This window comes from Homo sapiens, chromosome 2, assembly GCF_000001405.40.
Source record: "Homo sapiens chromosome 2, GRCh38.p14 Primary Assembly".
In the NCBI taxonomy this organism is placed as follows: Eukaryota; Metazoa; Chordata; class Mammalia; order Primates; family Hominidae; genus Homo; species Homo sapiens.
In genome coordinates this window covers 115,161,387-115,181,496 of record NC_000002.12, presented here as the reverse complement: position 1 = coordinate 115,181,496, position 20,110 = coordinate 115,161,387, and the positions used below count along the sequence as shown (strand labels likewise).

General features: G+C 38.5%; 1 protein-coding gene across 20 annotated transcripts in view; it reads right to left on the bottom strand.

Moving 5' to 3' along the window:
* DPP10 (dipeptidyl peptidase like 10) overlaps positions 1–20,110 on the bottom strand; it is a 1,403,140-nt gene that overhangs the window by 664,284 nt on the left and 718,746 nt on the right. For 3 of the 20 annotated variants that reach the window (NM_001321906.2, XM_047445202.1, NM_001399851.1), the window contains exons 1-2: positions 19,469–20,080; positions 19,225–19,340 (exon numbers count right to left, since the gene is read on the bottom strand). The exons of 11 other annotated variants lie outside the window; for them this stretch is intronic. In NM_001321906.2, the coding sequence (NP_001308835.2) occupies positions 19,225–19,263 (39 nt within the window). In that variant the 5' untranslated portion in view covers positions 19,264–19,340; positions 19,469–20,080. 20 annotated transcript variants of the gene reach the window in all.

Below are 20,110 nucleotides of genomic sequence, written 5' to 3'. Positions count from 1 at the left end.
GGTCATATGAAAAAGCAACAATATACAAGACATATGAGTGAAGTCTTCCTGACCTTCCAGCTACCGGATGAATGCAGTCAAGATAAACAACACACTTGAACCAGAAGCACTGCCCACCAAGCCACCTGAACTCCTGACCAACAGAATCATGAGAAATAAAATCGTTGTTTTAAGCCACCGAATAAGGGAGTGATATGATATGAAGTAACAGATAAAACAGAATCTGCCTAAAATACTTTCTCAATATCTTCAGGTTAGCACAGACATTCACCAGAACTTCCGTCATGATTTCTTAAAAGATAATGAAAGTTGTTCATTTTAAGTATTTTCACACCCAAACTGTTTGTCTGTAAATTATTTTTTAATCTCCAGGATAAAAAGAACAGATGCACCTTGCAAGGTCTTAGTGTTAAGGTGTTTCATATTAGAAGATAGTTTTTAAGTTGTCCTTATTCGTAAATCAAAATAGGGGTGAGATGTGTTCACTAAGTGACGTATATTTTTAGGAAAAGAGACAACTTTTATTCACTTCTTTATTTCCTGTTGCTTTTTTGCTTAAGAAAGGGAGGGAGGCAGGAGGAAGGGAGGCATGGAGGGAGGGAGAGAGCATCATTATAATCAAGAGTTCTTGGGGTTACCCTCAGTCCTTCCATTATAAATAGTTACCTCCATGGACATTGAGATAAATAAGCAGAAAGGACATTTTTTCATGCCCACTCCCACCCTTTCAATCTAGAAACATTTCCTTGGAGCATCAGTCTGGGTATCTACATACATATGTACATTTCTAGTGAGAGGATGTCATGGTTAGATGTATTCAGGGGCATAACTTATAATTCAACCATTGGGTATGTCATAAGACTCTGCAGTAGCTGGTGAAACAGAGAGCTTGGTACTCCGCCAAACACTGAAATCTCAGAGGTCAAGGGAATCCTGACTTCCTATTAAACTTCCCTATATCACCGTAATTAGAAGATCTGACAGGATTTTCAGGTTAATTCACAAAAGGAAGAGGTTTGACCTAAAGATCCTGGATTATAACACACAAGAGGCTTGATTCCTTATGATAGAATCAAATGGTACCATTACCCAAATTTTAGGTACGAATATGTAAGTAGTGACTGATTAAAATTTATTTCAAGTCATACCTATTCAGTATTTATAATATGAAATCAGGAATCTGCCTGGTAACATTTCATGTACCTTTTCTGTCTGGGTTACTTAATAAGATTCTTGAAAAAAATTATCAAAGTCGTAGTTGATTTCTATCAGTGTACCTCTCCTCAACCATGCCCATACATCTCCTAATATTCCCAGCAGGACATCAAAGATTAAAGCCTAATCTGAACTCTAAAAACCACTTTCCATTCAGCAGCTTGACTTCCTAGAAGCATTAACAACTACAAGTTTCTTCTTTGTGTTAAAAGATTAGCAGCTACCAAATATGCCCTGCAATAATTCAGCAGGTGTATTGTAAAAAATTGATTTTTCTTTAAAATTTTTCAGAGAAAAGAGGTTATTTGATTTTAAAAAGCTCTATAATCTCTACAGAATCTTAAAAGAAATAACTTGTTTTTCCTATTGTTAAGAATAGTTTAACTAAAAATTCCTTCTGTGAAACGGTTTCGAGTCTTGGTAGAGCTGGTCATCCTTACGGATCAATAAAACATTTCAATGCTGCTATTTTTCTTCCTGGTGTGTTTGTTAAATTCCATTACTACTTGATGGAATAGAGAGGAATATTTTGACCAAATAAATTTGCCAAGTTTAGAATAATTCTTAGCTTCCTCAATATATGAGGAGTTAAGGACACAAAAATCCATAAGCTTATAATTTATCGAGGTAATTTTTCTTTGCAAACATAAAAGAATTCTGCAAAGTCTAAGGTCTTCTATCCTTACCTCAAATACTATTATCTCCTTATTCACTGAGAGGGTGGTTTGCTGTGACTGACAGCAACATATAGCCTTTTTAGACTAAGACAGGTGAATAAAGCACAGTCTATTGTTTAAAGAAATGCCTCTCATTTCTCAAATTATGCTTATCCCACGGTATATAAGAAAACGTAAGCACACCACGTATTCATTATCATGTATTGAGAGTCTCTATATTTTTTAATAATAATACAGAAACAACATTTTAATAATGCGGGATTATGTCCATTACTAGCCTTTAGACTTCACAGTGTCATTCAAACATCCAGGAATATAATCTTTCTTATTATAAAAGAAAATAGAGGGAATTTGTTCAATTCTACATTAAAATTTCTAAATATTATTTTATTGTTTCCTTAACATGAATATCTTATAAGGTATAGAATTGTGTTTCAGAATATTTCAATAATAGCCCTTTTCTTTTACCCATCTACTAGGAAAGGCTCATTCATTATTTTCAACTTATTAAAATCTGCAAAAGCTGGGATACATACTTGAGTCTAATGCTGGGGATAAGGAGGAAGCTTTTCTACTTTTAATTTGTTAAGATCCCCATTAACATATGTAGACCAATGCTATCTAGATGGTCCCTCGATTATGATGGTTTGGCTTCACCATGGTGTGAAAGCCATACACATCCAGTAGAAACCACAATCCCATAATAGGTAGAGGAACTTATGATAGTTTCAATTTATGATGCATTTTTGACCCGATGATATTTTTGATTTACAATGGTTATGTCAGGACCTAACCTCATCCTAAGTTGGAAAGCATGTATATAAATAAATGTATATATACATACATATTCATACACACATGCACAGATATAGCATTGAAGTGGATGCCAACATATCAAATACTTTTATTCCAGTTTTGCTAATTGGGAGCTGAGGTTCAGAGAGGTTAAGGGATACCCAAAACAGAACAGCTAATAAATGCAGTAGTTATCTTTAGGTTACATGCAATCATACATATCATAATAACCATCAATTTATTTTCTTTATTAAATAGAGGCCAATGATTTGCTGATTGTGGTTGACCAGTAAAGTAGCCACTCTCCTCCACAGATGACAGTAGTGGTATTCATAGTAGTCGTGGTAGTAATAATGCTCATTAGAACACTGTGTGCAAGTTAGTTTGTTGTTCTCATTTTAAAGATGAGGAAACTGTGGTTCAGAGAAGGAAAGTAATTTGACTAGGGCCACATAACTTCTAGGTGGCAGAACCGGGCTTTGAACCTGGATTGTCTGCCCCTAGAGTCCATGCCCTTGTCTACTCCGGTAGACAGTGTCTCAGGTGTTTAATGAGCACCTACTCTTTGTCAGGCAATGTGTGGAGAGCATGGCTCTTCCCTTCTGTTTGTAGGCAAGGGCACAGTAAACACACCTGCACCAAGACTGGCTATCACTTATCAGATTATGAGGCACATAATATCTAATTCATCATGAAAAAAGGAGGAACATTTTTTAAAGAAGCCAACTTTTAGAGGGTCTATTTTGATAATATCAAGGTTTTTATCAAAAAAAAGCAATGTCACTTTGGGAGGCCGAGGCAGGTGGATCACGAGGTCAGGAGATCGAGATCATCCTGGCTAACACAGTGAATCCCCGTCTCTACTAAAAATACAAAAAGTTAGCCGGGCGTGGTGGCGGGCACCTGTAGTCCCAGGTACTCAGGAGGCTGAGGCAGGAGAATGGCATGAACCTGGCAGGCGGAGCTTGCAGCGAGCAGAGATCGCGCCACTGTACTCCAGCCTGGGCCACAGAGCAAGACTCTGTCTCAAACAAACAAACAAACAAAAACAAAAACAAAACAAAACAAAAGCAATGTTATACACTTCAAAATAAACATGTCTGCTAACATTTTTATAAAAGGAGAGGTAAAGAATGTGTCTAGACTAGCTTGAAACTACAAACATTTCTCTGGAAGAAAGAAATGAAAATAATATTAGTGATTACCTATCAAAAGAATGACAGAATGAGGAGCTGCACAGCTGGGGAACAACTCTGGGAAGGAGACGTTCCACTGTATATATTTGTGTAATATTTGATGTTTGAACTACATGAATATGTTATTCAGAAATTAAAGAAGATTGTGTGTTTTATTTAAAATTGGAAGTGAAAAAAATAGACTCCGTTAGCACCGACTGCCGAACTAAACAAAATGACAAAGACCTCTGAAAAATAAGGCTTAAATCAGATGCTTAGGTTACTGAAAAACCGGGAGCAAAGCATTCACCTTCTCTTTCATAAAATGATGAAGCCAATTTGTCGTTCAAGTTCATTACGGGAGACAAGGAAGACAATTTTAAGTTTTTCTAAATTGTAAAGTTTACATTAATATATACACATATACACACACGTACATGTACATGTCTTACAGTGCTCACCAGTTCTTCACTAATAAAAAAGTGGAGGTAAGATCTAAAACTAAATATGCACAATTAAAAAGTCAGCTTCATGGATGACAAACGAATTTAAAAACTGGCTTCAAAGATGCTACAAACTAAATTATACATTTTGGACAATAAAGAGTGACTTTTTGTCTTAAAATATTTTTGATAGACATAAAATTATACATGATTAAAATTTTCAAAGTAAACTCCATTTTCAATTGAATATACAGAAGGCAGTAGCCATGCTCACAGTGCATTGCCTAAGGGAGCAGGTGCTCACCAAACACATGAGAAACTGTCTACTGGAACAGACAAGGGCATGGACTCCAGAGGCAGACAATCCAGGTTCAAAACCCAGTTCTGCCACCTACCTACAAGTTATGTGGTCGTAATCAAATTATGTAACCAAAGAGGTTCCCTCTCTGAACCTCAATTTCCTCATCTTTGAAGTGAGGATGACAGTTCTAACTTGTACACAGAGTTCTAGTGAGCATTACTACTACAACTACTAGTATGGCTCTTACTATTATCCTTTGTAGAAAAGAATCAAATATGATTTATTGATCAGCCGCAAGTGGGAAATCATTGGCCTCCACTTAATAACAGGAAAGAAGTTGATGGTTATTATAATATGTATGACTGTATGTGATCAAAAGACAACTTCTGCATTTACTACCTGTGGAGTCTTGGGAGTCTCTTAACTTTAATAAACCTCAGATCCTCATTTGCAAAACTGGAATAAAAGTGGAATCTATTACATAAGGTTATGGTGAGGATTAAATAAAATTTAAGCAATTGATTACATTACATAATATAAATATATAAATATTATAAATATAAAATGTTTATATATAACAAATATATATTTATATATAAATATATTTAAATTTTTTATAAAATATATAAAATATAAATATACAACATATATAAATAGTATAGACACAAAATTTTAGCTACTGTCAATAATAAAAATACTAATAATTTTGTCACTGAAATTCTTTCCTTTTATAATTTGAAAGTCATATTTTGTAATTTTGCTACAGGCTCATCTGACTCATCCTCTAGGACAAGTGTCAGCCTGGCTAAAGACATAAATTAGGATTAGAGAATCCTTGCTTTTGAGAAATAAAGCCTTACTTCTCAGAGTGTGGTCCACAGACTAGGCATCATCTGGGCACCTGCTATAAATGCAGAATCTTGGACCCCAGCTCACATTCACTGGACTAGAATCTGCTTTTCAGCAATATCCCCAAGTGATTCATACCCACATTAAAGTTTGGATAGTGTTCTAAAACTGATTCTCTAATATATAGTAGCCCTAGCCACATACAGCTACTTAAGCTTAAATTAATTAAAATTAAGTACAATTAAAAATACAATTCTTCAGTGTCACTGTCACAATTCAAGTGTTTAAACATGATAGCCATGTGTAGCTGGTGGTTATCATATTGGAAAACACCAATACAGAACATTTTCATCTTTCCAGTATGTACTATTGAATAGCGCTGGTCTTTTCTGTGAGAAAGTAAAAGATATTTTAGGAAACTAAGGTTCAATTATTCAATAAGTTTTTTAAACTCCAAATTATTCATTGAACCCCTTTTTACACTGCACAGAAGTACTCATGTAAACTTATTTTTTTGTTTTTAACACTGGTAGGAAAGGGCAAGGGAAGGGAAGTAGCTTGCCCCATGTGCAAGTGGTGATTCTCTCTTGAGGTTCCCAATCCCATTCATATGTTTATTTCTTCCTGTTCCCCCACCCCTCTTAAATTCATAAGACCTTCATCTTCTCTGGCCCCCAAATATGGGTTCTCAAGACAGAGCATACCAAGCAATCACGGAGCAGGAAATGATACAAGTTAGACATAAATTGTTAATATCCCCTGCCCAGCCAGAAGTTAAAGGAACAAAGGAAGTCATGGTGGAATCCAGAGCTACACAGATGAATGAGAAGAGCTATTTTTCAGAGCACTGACAGTCACAGATGCGAGTCACAAGGGAATGAAAATTTATGATATGCCTTAAATCACACCATGTTGGTAGTTAATCTCTCTTCTCCCTAAGGGCAGTTTCTAAAAGTAGCCATCTCCAGGAACAACTACCACCACGCAGCTTGATCCGAATCTCATTTTGCTAAATCCTTCAAGAATGGTTTCTCACTTCCTTGTGTGCAATTATCCTATCTCATCTTCTCCAAAGAAAAGCTATTTGAGACTACCAAATTGTTCTCCTCTAGCCTTCATAGACACCTGCATCAATTTCTTGGGACAAACCCGACAAGCAATGTTGGCTGACTGGCTGCATTCCAGGACCTCACTGCTGGTGAATCAAATCTGACACTGGAAGCTCCACAGGGTTTACAGAAAACTTTAATAACATGACTTAAGAAGTTGGCTGTGACATCAAGTGTAGGCCCAGATTGCACAATTTTTCTGAGCTTGGGAATGTTAAGAAAACAATTCGAGAACTGTAAATAAAAACAAGTATAACTATACATTCATCTTTTCAATGTCAAACTGGGGCACTATCTAATCAGCCGACATATGATTATAGAATTTTAGGGGAATGTACCCTATTTTCTCTTACTATTTGCTATTACATAGGCCCACAGTCTATAAAGTTAGATGTTAATTATAGAAAATATATAAGTACCCAAAAATTTCTGTCTGCTATCAAAGACAAACACAAAAGTTATGGCCTGAATATTAACCAGTTTTGTATTTAATTTTGGAAACTTTGTAAGCCATTCCTTTTCAGACTATATAAATCTCTCTTCCTCAAATACTGTTTGAACCAACTTTACCATCTTGATGGCTCCTTTAATAAGTTAAATTATTGACAAATATTCACTACATACTTATACGAGAACCACATTTTCTCATTTGGAAACATGTACATTGAAAGCGATCAATACTGTCTTATAGATCTTCATGTCTGATCTGGAACGGGTCTTCCTACTCTCTTCTACTTCATCAGGAAAATGAGATACTGCAGAAAACCTAGACTTTACACAAACCATGATAGTTAACCTTATTGCTTTCAGATAGAATCTATACAATACATCTTCTTATTAAACCTGCTACCAAAAATAAAAATAAAATCCTAAACCAGCTGGAACCTTTCCACTTACATTCTCATCAATTTTTTCTTTATCGACATCATCACAGACAATCCAAAGTTATTTCTATGATTCTGATAATTGAGTGAGGCTCCTTCTACCAACTCTTAACCTAGGTGGGAGGAACTCTTCTTTCTACTGTACCAAACTGATCAGTTGTATGATTTTGAGCAAATCAGCCTTTATCGTTCTCAACTGCCTTATCAGTAAACCAGATAACTTAATCACATAGTCGGTTGTAAGATTCCTTCAGAATATATGTACATCTTAAAGGGGGATAATGGAGAGAAAATGGGATTCTATTATTTAAGACTCTCAGAGTCAGAACTATGAGCCCACAGTGCATGTTACTAATAATTACCATCTGCAGATTTTACGCTGGCAATTTGACTGTTGCATCTCATGCTCAGGTCATTTAATATGTGCCTACCTAAAGCATACCCATTAGAACAGATATTTTCTCCTTAAAAATTGGCTGTAAATGGAAGTCAGCAGATGGTACTGTACAACAGGAACGAGTTATGGTATCTGCTTAATTTTTTAGCCCTATATAACCTGTTGGTGCTTTGTGATCTCTCTAAAATACCTTTTTCTTGTTACAGAATGACTCATTTTGAGGTTTACATAACAATTATGGGCTTGTTATGCTGCACATCTTCAAACCAGCAATTTTATATCATGATGGCTTTGTCCTGTGTTTTCCTTAACTAAAATTGCCTTGTGTGACCAATAAGCAATGTGAAGCTGACATTTCTGAGTCCAAGCAGCTAATCCTAGATTGTATTTATCTATTTTCAAATATTTGCACCATCTGTGATTCCATATTAGTTTTTTTGGATTCGCTGTTACAGCTCAAGAACTGTAGCTCTGAGAAGGAACGAAGCTGCAGTCCAAATGCAGAATACATTATAAGCATGAGACGGAATTTAACCATGGGGATGGGGAAGGGAAAAAAAACAAATTCAGAAAAGTAAATGCATATTCAGTTTTCCATTTTCAAAATATAAACTTTGTCAACTTCTCTGCGTGATAAGAAATATAAAAATGGATGCCATGCAGCTTCTTAACCAACTCCCAATCCATGTTTGCTTTGGAGTCAGGAGGACTCTATATAATCTGCATACCAACCAAAACAGGAGCTCAATATTAAAGATGCCCTTAAGCTTCCAATGTCAAACAATGACAAAAGGTGCTTTAAAGCTGTGTTTCCAACTTCTGGGAACTTCAACATCCAACATAGTTTGATTTTCCATCGCTCTGTCTATGTCCGGTATAACAACCCAACACATATTAATAACCAAATAATAAGCACCACCATTTTTCAGCACCTCTTGGATAGTAAACCTATTTCATTGCTGATCCTCACAACAGTTCTGCAAAATAAACATCAATTCATTTTCAGATGAAGCATCAGATACAGAGAGGCTGGGTAAGTTGCTCAAACTAGTATGTCAAGGTTCTAGGGTTTAACGTCAGGTTAAATGAGTAGAAATCCCTGGGTCTATCCACTAAAAATAATTACATGTGTCTGAAAAATTATCCTCATGGACTTATTTATTTAGCATATAATCATTTCTCTGGTCTGTATTGGAACTTGGTGCTCTGAAAACTCTGTCTGGAAATACAAATAATCAGCTTCTGGAAATAGCTTTTTTTTTTTTTTTGAGACGGATTCTCACTCTGTCGCCCAGGCTAGAGTGCAGTGGCGCGATCTGGGCTCACTGCAAGCTCCGCCTCTCGGGTTCAAGCCATTCTCCTGCCTCAGCCTCCGGAGTAGCTGGGACTACAGGCACCCACCACCACGCCCGGGGGAGAAGCCTTTCTTACCAAGAATCCCAGTGTATCAGAAGTCTGTTGTTTCCATTAATGTCCCAAGAAAGCTCTAAAATTTACCTGCATGCATTCCCCAGTTGTTAAGAGCATCTCTCCTTTAGGAGGGATTCACCCAATTGCTACTACATTGCTGGGAGTTGCAATTTCAGATGCTGTGTGTAGATATCAGCAGTTGCTTATTCATGCTGAGTGTAAGAGGGGAAGCTTGAGAAAGTCAACTCTGTTTGTGTAGTGGTGGCACTGCCATTTCACTGGAGTAGTGAATTTCACAGTTTACGTTCAGAATGGCATTATGGCTTTGCGTGTAACCTCTTGCCATGGCAAAGTACAGAAGATGCATATGCACTTCTGTGATGTCTGGTGGCCAGGTGCCAAAAGTCTAAGGACCACTGACCTAGAACTAGCACATCACAAAGGAGAAATCAAGAAATGTCAAATGAGCCTTGCCTATGGACACAAAGCATTTTAAAACTTGTTTTTTTTTTGTTTTTTTTTTTTAAGGTTATACTTAAGCGGCAAGGAAGGCAGATGTGCTACCATGACACCACCGAAGGCTTTGTACCAGCAGCTGAATCTGGGAATGGCTAGATGGAAAGAGACCCAGAATCAAGTACTGCTTCTAATTCTAAACAACAGTGTGACCTTAGACAAGTCACTTCACCTCTCCATTGTCTGTTTCCTGATTTGAATACAAAGGTGTGACATTTAGGAAACAACAGTTTCTCTGAATGTTATCATCATTTATCATTCATGTCATGGCTATTTGAAGGAAATAATTTAGAAAGGCAATGCTGCTACCAATATCCAACTATTCTTTTTCTTTTCTTTTCTTTTCTTTTCTTTTTTTTTTTTTTTTGATGGAGTCTCGCTCTGCCACCCAGACTGGAGTTAAGTGGCACAATCTTGGCTCCCAGCAACCTCTGCCTCCTGGGTTCAAGCAATTCTCCAGCCTCAGCCTCCTGAGTCGCTAGGATTATAGGCATGTGGCACCACACCTGGCTAATTTTTGTATTTTTAGTAGAGACAAGGTTTCACCATGTTGGCCAGCCTGGTCTCAAACTCCTGACCTCAGGTGATCCACCTGCCTCGGCCTTCCAAAGTGCTGAGATTACAGGCACGAGCCACTGTGCCCAGCCAATATCAAAGTATTCTTTCTCAGAAAGTCAATCAACTCTTAGACAGACGATGGCTCTCAGAAATGTAGAGAGGCGGAGGGAACTGGATTTGGGTTTGGAGATGGCATTCATGCAAAGAGAGATGAAGGAACGAGAAGTACCATCCTAGAGTGCAGAGATACTGACGCTGAGCAAATAGAAATGTGTAATAATGAGCCACTCATCATGCCACAGTGGCCTAAAGTTGAGCAAATCTCATTTTGGAGCAATTATAAGCAACCTTCATAAATGTGAGGGAGGGGAGTTTCTTTCATTTCAACTTCTGGTTCAATTCACACATGCCTATCACTCTCACTATGGGTGTCAAGAAGTAGGGTACACACAATTCCTAAGATCAGAAAAAAAGAAATAACCCTGATGAAGATGTTGGGTTTGGCTTCAAAATATGTTCACTTTATTTATTGGACCACTTATGTTTTATAGTACTCTAAAAAAGTACATACAGGTGAAACGTATCGTCTTTTCCCTTGAAGTCCCTAAAAGCTAGTGAGGTAGATAGAAAATCTATTCATAATTTCATAGATCCTAGGAAATTTAAATTATAGACTAATTTTGCCAGACAAATGACCTATTCTAAATTTGAGGAATCCTTCATGGATTTCAGTTTTTTTTCCTCTCAAAAAGATATATTTTTACCTCTATTCAAACATTGTCTCAGTTCCTCATCTTCTATTCTGTGTCTAAGAGAGAAGAATTATCAATGCAAATTTGTGACACATTGATTTAAAGGATTGCTTTATGAAAGACTTCTAGTACTTGTTTTAAAACATGTGAAGTGAAAAAAAAGAGCCATGTTTTGCATTGATTAACTTACATTAAAACCATTCCTGGAGGTGAGATGTGATTAATGTAAGTATGAATATCAGAGTTTTCACTTACTCAACTCTTGCCAAAAGTAAACCCATGTTCCAATAACAAGAAAGGCCTATTTCTCCCTGTACAAGCATTATTAATGCAACTTCAAGTGGTCTCTCTGGTCCATTATTTGAAAATAAATCACAGGGCAGCCTGCCACTCAAGTTCTTGATTACGTAATACAGATTTGTCACATTTCTGTTTTCAGAGCAGACTTTCTCAGATGGAATAAGAAACTGAATCTTCATTTACATATCAAAAAGAGAGTGGGGATAAGAATAATAAAAATAGCTTTTATCCTCCCTTTTCTTCATTTGCTATCTTTTATAATCTGATACATAGTTATTTTGTCTTGACCTGAGAAAACCAGTAAGCATGACGAATTACAATAATATTAAAGTTAGATAATACATAGCTTGGCTGGAGAACATTCCCAAATGTAAAGTCGGTTTTGATTATGCACTCAACTAACTTTTCTTAAATTTCAACTAAATAATATCACCTGTTCCCGTATGCAAAGAATTTCTAAGTAAATCATTCCTGGGCACCAAACTTCTGGAAAGAGAATATTAAACCATGAACATATCAAACAAGACTCTAAGTCTTTTGTGAAAATAGACTCTTCATCTAAAAATAGTAGAAATCAGTCAAGTTGTCACGAATTCATTTTCATCTAACGCCCTATAATAATCTACCTATAAAAGATCCATAGCATTTAGATCATAAATATATATATATGTGTGTGTATAGTGTGTATATATTTGATAATGGTGTACACACACATATTCAGCATTTTCATTCACATAAGTGCAAATTTACTTTTGTAAAAGAAGAAAATATCCTTCTGAGATGATCTAGAAGCACGATAGCATTAAGAATGAAAATACTTACTAGGTTTCAAGCTTGAGCCAGATGCAATAAAAACTCATTCACATAGATTCTCTAATTATTGCAACATTCTCATCATCCTCTCCCTTTTCAAGATGAAAGAATGATTTTAGTGGGATTATAAATTGCCTAGTAAATGGCAGAGGAAGGAATCAATCTGAAATCTGTTTGACCTTGTTCTCAGTCTTACATCACGTTGCCTCTCCCCAAAATGTAATTAAATTTGAAAATCATTTGGCAATTCCAAAAATGTTATAGAATATTTTAATAACTTTTAAATAAACTATGGCATGAAAAACTTAGAAAAAAATTTTTTTTATTTTGTGGAAGACATTAAAAGAATACTGTTCACATCAATTACAGAACAGAACAATTCAAAATATTTATTTTATCAGTTTTGGATAAAAGTGAGTTTTCTGTATTTAGCCTGGCAGTGGATGACACATTTACCATTACAAATGGATATGCCTGAGATTCTAAGAATTTAGGAAAGCTTAACAAACATAAATCTACAATAGAAGAGCTTTCTTTTCAGTGCCCCAGTCTCCCCACCGAACCTACTTCCCAGCCTTCTCTACTATACTGAAAACGACAACCATTCCTTGAGTTAATATGTAGTCAATGATAAGAATGTCTACCGTGTAGAAAGAAGGTAAGTGCTAATTTTAAAAGCCTTAGAGAACAGGTGCTATTAGATAGGGACAAATAAACAGAGATTGGTTATTGCCAGAAAACTTGTGGATCAGGTCAATAAAAACTTTAAAACAAGAGTATGCTGGGAATAATCAATACTAAACTCCACAACTTCTCAAGGCAGGACAGCATTCACTAGAGCAAGAACAATTCTAACTATCCATAAGGATATAAGTTTATGAAGAAGTTTACAGTCCCTTTATCATTTATCTGGCTTCTTTTTGGACCTTGCACAAGTCTTCAGATGGAAAAACCTCCAACCTTTTTTTGGTTGATGTATGTCTTAGTATATGGCCCCCATTCTAATGTTAGTCATACATGAACTTGGTTAGGACACACAAGTCACTTAGCAAGTATGAAAATATATGGAGATGATTTTAATAAGTGGAGCATACATGTGTGTTTAAAGGTTACACAGAAAAAGGTGTAGAAAAAATTTGTGAAAAAGTCTTTTGACTTATGTTTAATCCAATTCCATGCCCCTCCCCATAACAGTAGGGACATGCACCCTGGGTTCTTGGTGGCTCCACTGCCAAGCACACTCTCCTGCTACATTGACTGAAATCTCACCCCCTGACATATTTCTATAAATCCCATCTGTCTTTCCTTTAAATATCCTCTTTCTCATGCTGATTACCTTGGGAAGTACATTGCATTGAAAACAATATGCAACATATTCAGCAGCTAATTCAACTCTTGGTGAGAATTAGCCAAAGTTTACTTTTAGCCTGACTTCTTACAGAGTAGAACAGTAAAGAATTTTACTATTCAATTTTGATTGAATGAAAGTCAGGATGTAACAGAATATTTTGAAATCTGGATGCCTGCCAAAATAGGATTGATGTCCAAATCCATTAATATAATATTTGCATGCACCCAAAAACTCATGTGTAATCATACTAATATGTGCACTGCAAAATATGGTTGTCTGTAAACTTAAAATAATGGATCAGCTATACACGGCTTAATAATCTGAGGCTTTTTTTTTTTTTTTTTTTTGAGACGGTCTCGTTCTGTTGCCCAAGCTAGAGTGCAGTGGCACAATCTCAGCTCACTGTGGTCTTGACCTCCCAGGTTCAAGCAATCCTCCCACCGCAGCCTCCTGAGTAGCTGGGACCACAGGAGTATGTCACTAAACCCTGATAATTCTTTCTTTCTTTCTTTTCTTTTTATTTTCTTTTTTGTTTTTTGTTTGTTTGTTTGTTTGTTTTAGAGACAAAGTCACATTACGTTGCCCACGCTGGTCTAGAACTCCTAGGCTCAATCCATCTATCTCAGCCTCCCAAAGTGTTGGGATTACAAGTGGGAGCCACTGCACCAGGCCCAGATTTTTTTTTTTTTTTCTATTTTGTCTAGGCTCTTATTCCCAGACTACACATTTAATAAGAAGACTTGGTATGAGTCAGACCTTATTCAAAAACTCCTACATATTATTTCATTTAACCGTTAGAACAAACATCTAAAGGGAACTGCAGTCACCTCCATTCACAGGTGAAATGGGGAAATTCAGTTATCCTGCCCAAGAAAACACACTGGTCTTTGGCGGACCTGGGATATGAACTTGACTCTGTGACTTCCAGTGCATAACCCATAGACAGTGATGAATAAATATTTGTTGTTGATAGCACAAAATCTCACAATCTTAGTCACAGCATTCTGGCATTGTGTCTGCTACATGTCACACTGTAAGTAAATTTAAAATGTGCCTATAAGTAGTAAAGCTTAAGACATTCTGTAATCATAAATAATTCAAGAAACCAAAATTTTGAATTTGCTTTATTTTTACTGAGACTGGGAGAAATTTGGTTGTTTTGTTTCCAATGTAATGTGCTTCATAAGATAATGCAGCATTGATATTTAATAATACAATTTTCTTTAAGTTGTTTTATATAATTTAATCTTTTTAAAATGTACCATTTGCTCAGATCCTGAAATAATCAAACAGATATATAGATATATTAGAAGATTCTAAGCAAGAGATATTTGTTGTATGTTCTTAATAAACAAAATGCCTTATATATAATATTTATATTATAAATTTATATAATATATATTTATATTATAAATTTATATATATATTTATATTATAAATTTATATAATATATAATATTTACATATAAAAATAAGAAATTCAGGGAGAGTAGGAAATGCATATTTTCTCTCAAATCATAGACTTCCATATAACATCTTTATTTAATGTATATTATCTTTTATAACCAAATTATATAGAACTCTACTCCCAATTAAATATGACATTTTATATGTTGAATAATTCGAAGTAATATGTTTTTTATTAATTAAAATTTTTCAATATGATTTATGAAAGCTCTTTTCATGGTTGTGTTTTAAAAACAATAGTTTATTGATCAAATTATGATGTGTATATATTAGCAAAGGGCACATGGAAGAATAACTCTTTTGCAATTTTTCATTAAGCATATGTTTGAATATTTAATCTGGTTTGCTAGACCAAAGGTAAAATAAAAATACTGAATACCAATTTCTGTATTAAAACATTTTAAGTTGATATTACCTAAATGTCTAAAGCACATCGATATTTCAGAGAAGGCATTTTACACATTACACATTTGATCTCAATTCTGGTCATGAATTATTTCATCAAGTGACAGCTTCACGTTCAATTGTAAGAGATTGGTTTTTTACCAAAATGCATTTTTTTAAAGAAAATGCATAACAAGTGCTGTCTTTGTAGTCAAATAGTTGCTTTTAAAAATATGCTTTTTAGTCATACTCTAAAAAGTGGGATGGTTTTGTTTTTGTTGTTTTTGTTTTTGTGTGGTTATTTTTGTTTTGCTTTTGGAGCTGAGAGAACAGCCACGCTTTTTAGGCAATATTTTTACCCACTGGAGTCAGCAGAAGGGTGCCACCTGGTGGAAATGTGAACAAACTCTAAACCTTGTCTGATTGACCATTAAAAATATATATATACTCATTTAACAAACGTTGAGAGTCTCGTCATCAGAGACAAATGATACAAAGATCAAAAAAAGCTCCTATAAATTTATGAGGATCTATCTTGTTCTTTTATATTATTTAGATCAGTAGCGTGATATTAACTAAAATTAGCAGAGCTGTGATTTACTTGTATAGTTGAAGCTTTAAACAAATTATTCATTTGTTTTATATTCAAGGTAAATTTGTGCACATGTGCACACATACACATATAATTTGCAATTATTTTCATTCTTACAATAGAAATATGTTGTATCATGATTGTATAGAAGTTAAAAGTTGAGGCTTCAGACCTCCATGAGTTCCTGGCTAAGTCTCACTTCCACAATAACTTCCTTAATCCTCTGTATTCTCATCTCTAAAATAGGAATAAAAACAGGACTCACCTCAAAAAACTGCTTTGAGAATCAAATAGAAAAATACATTCAAGAAATGTTACTTTATGAACCCTAAGAATAGTACTCTGCCTGTGGCAAGCATTCAGGAAGTGATTTTTAAAAATAATAATAAATTACAATTAGCCACTAGAGTTCTTAGCTCTTTCAATGTTAATTGAGATATTGATCATGTTAAGAAATGATTGTGTCTAGTCATGTCAAGGCATTTGTTTTTAGATATTTTGTAAATGTGGAGTGTTGTGAAAGCAACAAAAATAACTGTCATAAATATTTTGTAATCAAAGAATCTTTAAAAGAAAGATTACTAAGATGATAAAAATATTTCCAATGATTCAGAATATTCATAAAATACACGGTCCCTACACGGTCCCTCCTATTCTTGTTGTCACCATTCTCTAGGGAGGGAGGGCATGTCCTCTTGTCATGGCACCCTGTGCCAGAGGACACTAACAGATCAAATAAAAGAGGAAGGTTGAGCCCTCTACAGGACTGTAACTGTAACCAAATTATATGGTTCATAACCATTTTCAGTTACAGGAAGGATTATGGTCTTCCACTGTGCTATAAGTGGAAATAGGTGTTTGATGGCCTCAGGACAAGGCATCTTTGAGGTTTCATAAAAATCTTCACCATAGAAACTAGAAGACATTCTTGGAAACATGCAATAGCTTAAATCATTCAAAATCAATGCATAGTGATTGATTTGTTGGAACATGTGCCCTATTTAACCACTAGGTAAAATTTCATAAAGGTACATTTTAATTTAAATTTATGAATCTTTTTTATGAAATATTATAGAAAACACACAACTAATCACATCTTTATGAAGCTATATTATATCTAGTATTGCACGAGAGTTGTGTGGCAATTGCAGAATTAAACCATAATGACTAATATGGCTAATAAAAGCTTAGTAGTCTTACGGAAAGTAGTTTAAGCTGTCACAAAAATCATTCACATTCTTTTTCCATCGTTTCATATGTCAAGCTTTGAACAAAAATATGCTAGATATGAGTATTTCCTGGGAGTGCTTGAAACACCCTCACTGCGAGGTGCCATGTGTATATTTCAGTTGACTTTCTTTGTAAAATCAATCTATTAGAACACATGCATAAGATTCATAAAACTGACATTTTCAAATCATGTCAATACTCAGAAAGGCACTTAAAATACTCTATTAAAACAAGAGTTCTGCAAAGTAGCCACTCCCTGAATATTTGAAGTGGCTATTAAAAAATGCACACTAACAAGAAAAATGGATTCGAGCTTGCACCTATCTCTTCATATGAATTTTAAGTACCAGATTAATCCTGACAAGGGGATTTGTTGTGTATAGACAGCGTGTCCACTATCTACACATACATTTTCAGCTCCTGTGTGCTCTGCTCTGCTCTGCTTCTGCATCCCACTTCCACCATCACTGAACTGTTTGCAGCGCCTCAAGTAACCAGCTGGTGTCACAGGTTAGTGAGCAAAGATTTCATGTGGGGACTCTCACCTGGCTAATCTTTCTTACTGGTAGCATCATTCCCAGAGCAGTAGAGAGGCTCGGCGGCTTGTTAATGAAATTTAAGGGCTGTCAGCCTGAAAGAGGATGTTCAATCCATGTTCCCGTTCTGAAATTATTTTTCTATATCTGCTAACCAATGTTTACATTCTGATGTGTGCTGGGGATTAGGAGGAAGGGGTATAAAAGGAAGGAACGTATGATGTTTTAATATTTTCATACTTATCTCAGAGTATGGATCAAACAGGATCGTTTAAGAAAACAAATGCTTTGTAAGAACTGCCAACATTCAACCCCCTCCCACTAATAAACGAGAAGGGAGCTGTAAGTCATTGAGTAATCCCCACCACCTGTGTGAAACACATGTGAGAGAAAAGAGAAGGGGAGGGAAGAGGAGAAAAGAAACCGCAAGCCAGGAGAGATGACCAAGTCTGCAATATTAATAACAGCATCGCTGGCATGGCCTCCTGTGTCTCGCCACCACTCCTGGGCGATTTGGACAGCTCCCCTTAAGAGGCTCTTCAGTGCTTAGAATACGCGAAAAGCCGAGTCGCTGCTGGAGCCTAGCCGCGTGCGCTCCCTCTATCCCACGCTAGCAATAAGCTGGGAGGGTGTCCGCCTCCAGCAGCCTTCGCAGCGCACTCCGAACAAAGATCCCCAGTCCTCCTACCCCAGCGCTTGGGTCCCGCGGGTCCACAGTTAATCCCTGACCTAAGTGCAGCTCTCTCTGCCCGGAGTTCCTAATTGATGCAAACGTGAGCGCACCTGCACCCGGCTCAGCGCAGCCTCCCTCCTCCTCCTCCTCCTCCTCGCCAGGGTGTCTCGGCGCTCCCGACCCTCCAACTTTGGAAAAAGAGCGACACCGAAGTCCCAAATCACCCCAGATCAGGGACAGAGACGAGATGGGGATCCACGACGGTACGGTTATGCTACAGATTTCTAAAGACCAAAACAAAAAGGGGTTGGCGGGTGTAGACGGACGGGAAAGAGACAGGAATAACCCTCAGCCCACGCAGGGCACCTCATCTGTGCAGACGCGACACATCCAAACCCAACACATCACCAAAGCCAGCGCCTTCCCGGCTCCACTTAATCGTTAATGCCTCGCCGCTCCCCAAGCTCCGTTCCGCTCAGCAGACTACGGATGTCTGGGACACTCTTCCCCCATCCCCACCTCACAAACACACACCCGTCTCCTCAAAAGAAACAAGAAAGCAGAGGGAAAACCCCGTCCGCCTAAAGGTCATTCGCCTGCTCGGGTCGCTTTGGCCAGCGAGCGCCCCGGCTATAGGAGGACGGGGCTCGAACCCGGTGAGCGGCCGTCAGGAGCGCAGCAGATTTCTTCAGCGTGCGTTAATGGGGAACCAAGAGGCCCCATTCCTTGGTCCCGGCCGCCTCTCCCTCCCTCGGTGGGCCGCCCGCCGGGGTTCCCCGGGGCACCTTCAGCCTTTACCTCTCTGCCCCCTTCCCCGCGGCTCTCCACCTTGCGCATCCTCTCGCCGGGCCCCGGAGCGCACGCAGAGGCTCTAACTTCCCGCAGAGTCCGTGGAGAAGCAGGAGAGCCTGGAACTGGGGCGGGGCGGGGGAGGGTGAGAAGAGGGAGGCGCGGGAGCCCAGCCTGGGAAGCGGGAGGCGGGCGGAGCGCGCACTGGAGCCACCCCTCCCGGGAGGGCCTGGCCGCGGCTGCCGACTCTCACCTGGTCCGCCGGCTGCGCCTGGCTCGCCCTGGCCCCCGGGGTGGGCTGCGGCTCCTGCTTCGCGGCCGTCATCGCCGGCGGCCCGCGCTGGCGCTCGCTTCCTCGCGGGCGCTTCAGACTCGGGGACCGTCACTTGGCAGCGTTCGCAGGTCACGGGCGCCCGTCGCTCCCGGAATCGGCGGAAGGGACGGGGTGGGGGGAGCGGAGGGGCGGGGAGGGGAAGAAGAGCGGCACCGGGCGGGCTCCCCGTCGTAGGGTCCCTCCCTCGGCCACCGCAGACCCTCTGACTCCCCGCTCTCCCCGCCCCCCGCCACCCAAAGCGCAGCGAGCCGCGGCGGCGAGGCGAGACCAAGCGGCAAGTTAGTGCAGCGGCGAGCGGCGGGGCCCCGGCCCCTGACCGAGCTGCGGCGACGCCTCGTGCCTTCTTCCCGCAGTCCGCGCCCCCCACCGCCCGCCCCCGGGGGCTCCCCGCGCGGTGCTCAGCGCGCCAGGTGGAGCAGCCGGGCGCCGCGCTCCGGCCTCTCTTCGGCAACCGCAGCCGGGGGGGGGGAGAGCCCGGAGCGGCGCGAGAGCCCCCAACCCGCGCGCCCACGGCCGCCGGCTTCCGCGGTTACCCCGCCCCCCGCAGGCTTCCGCTAAAAC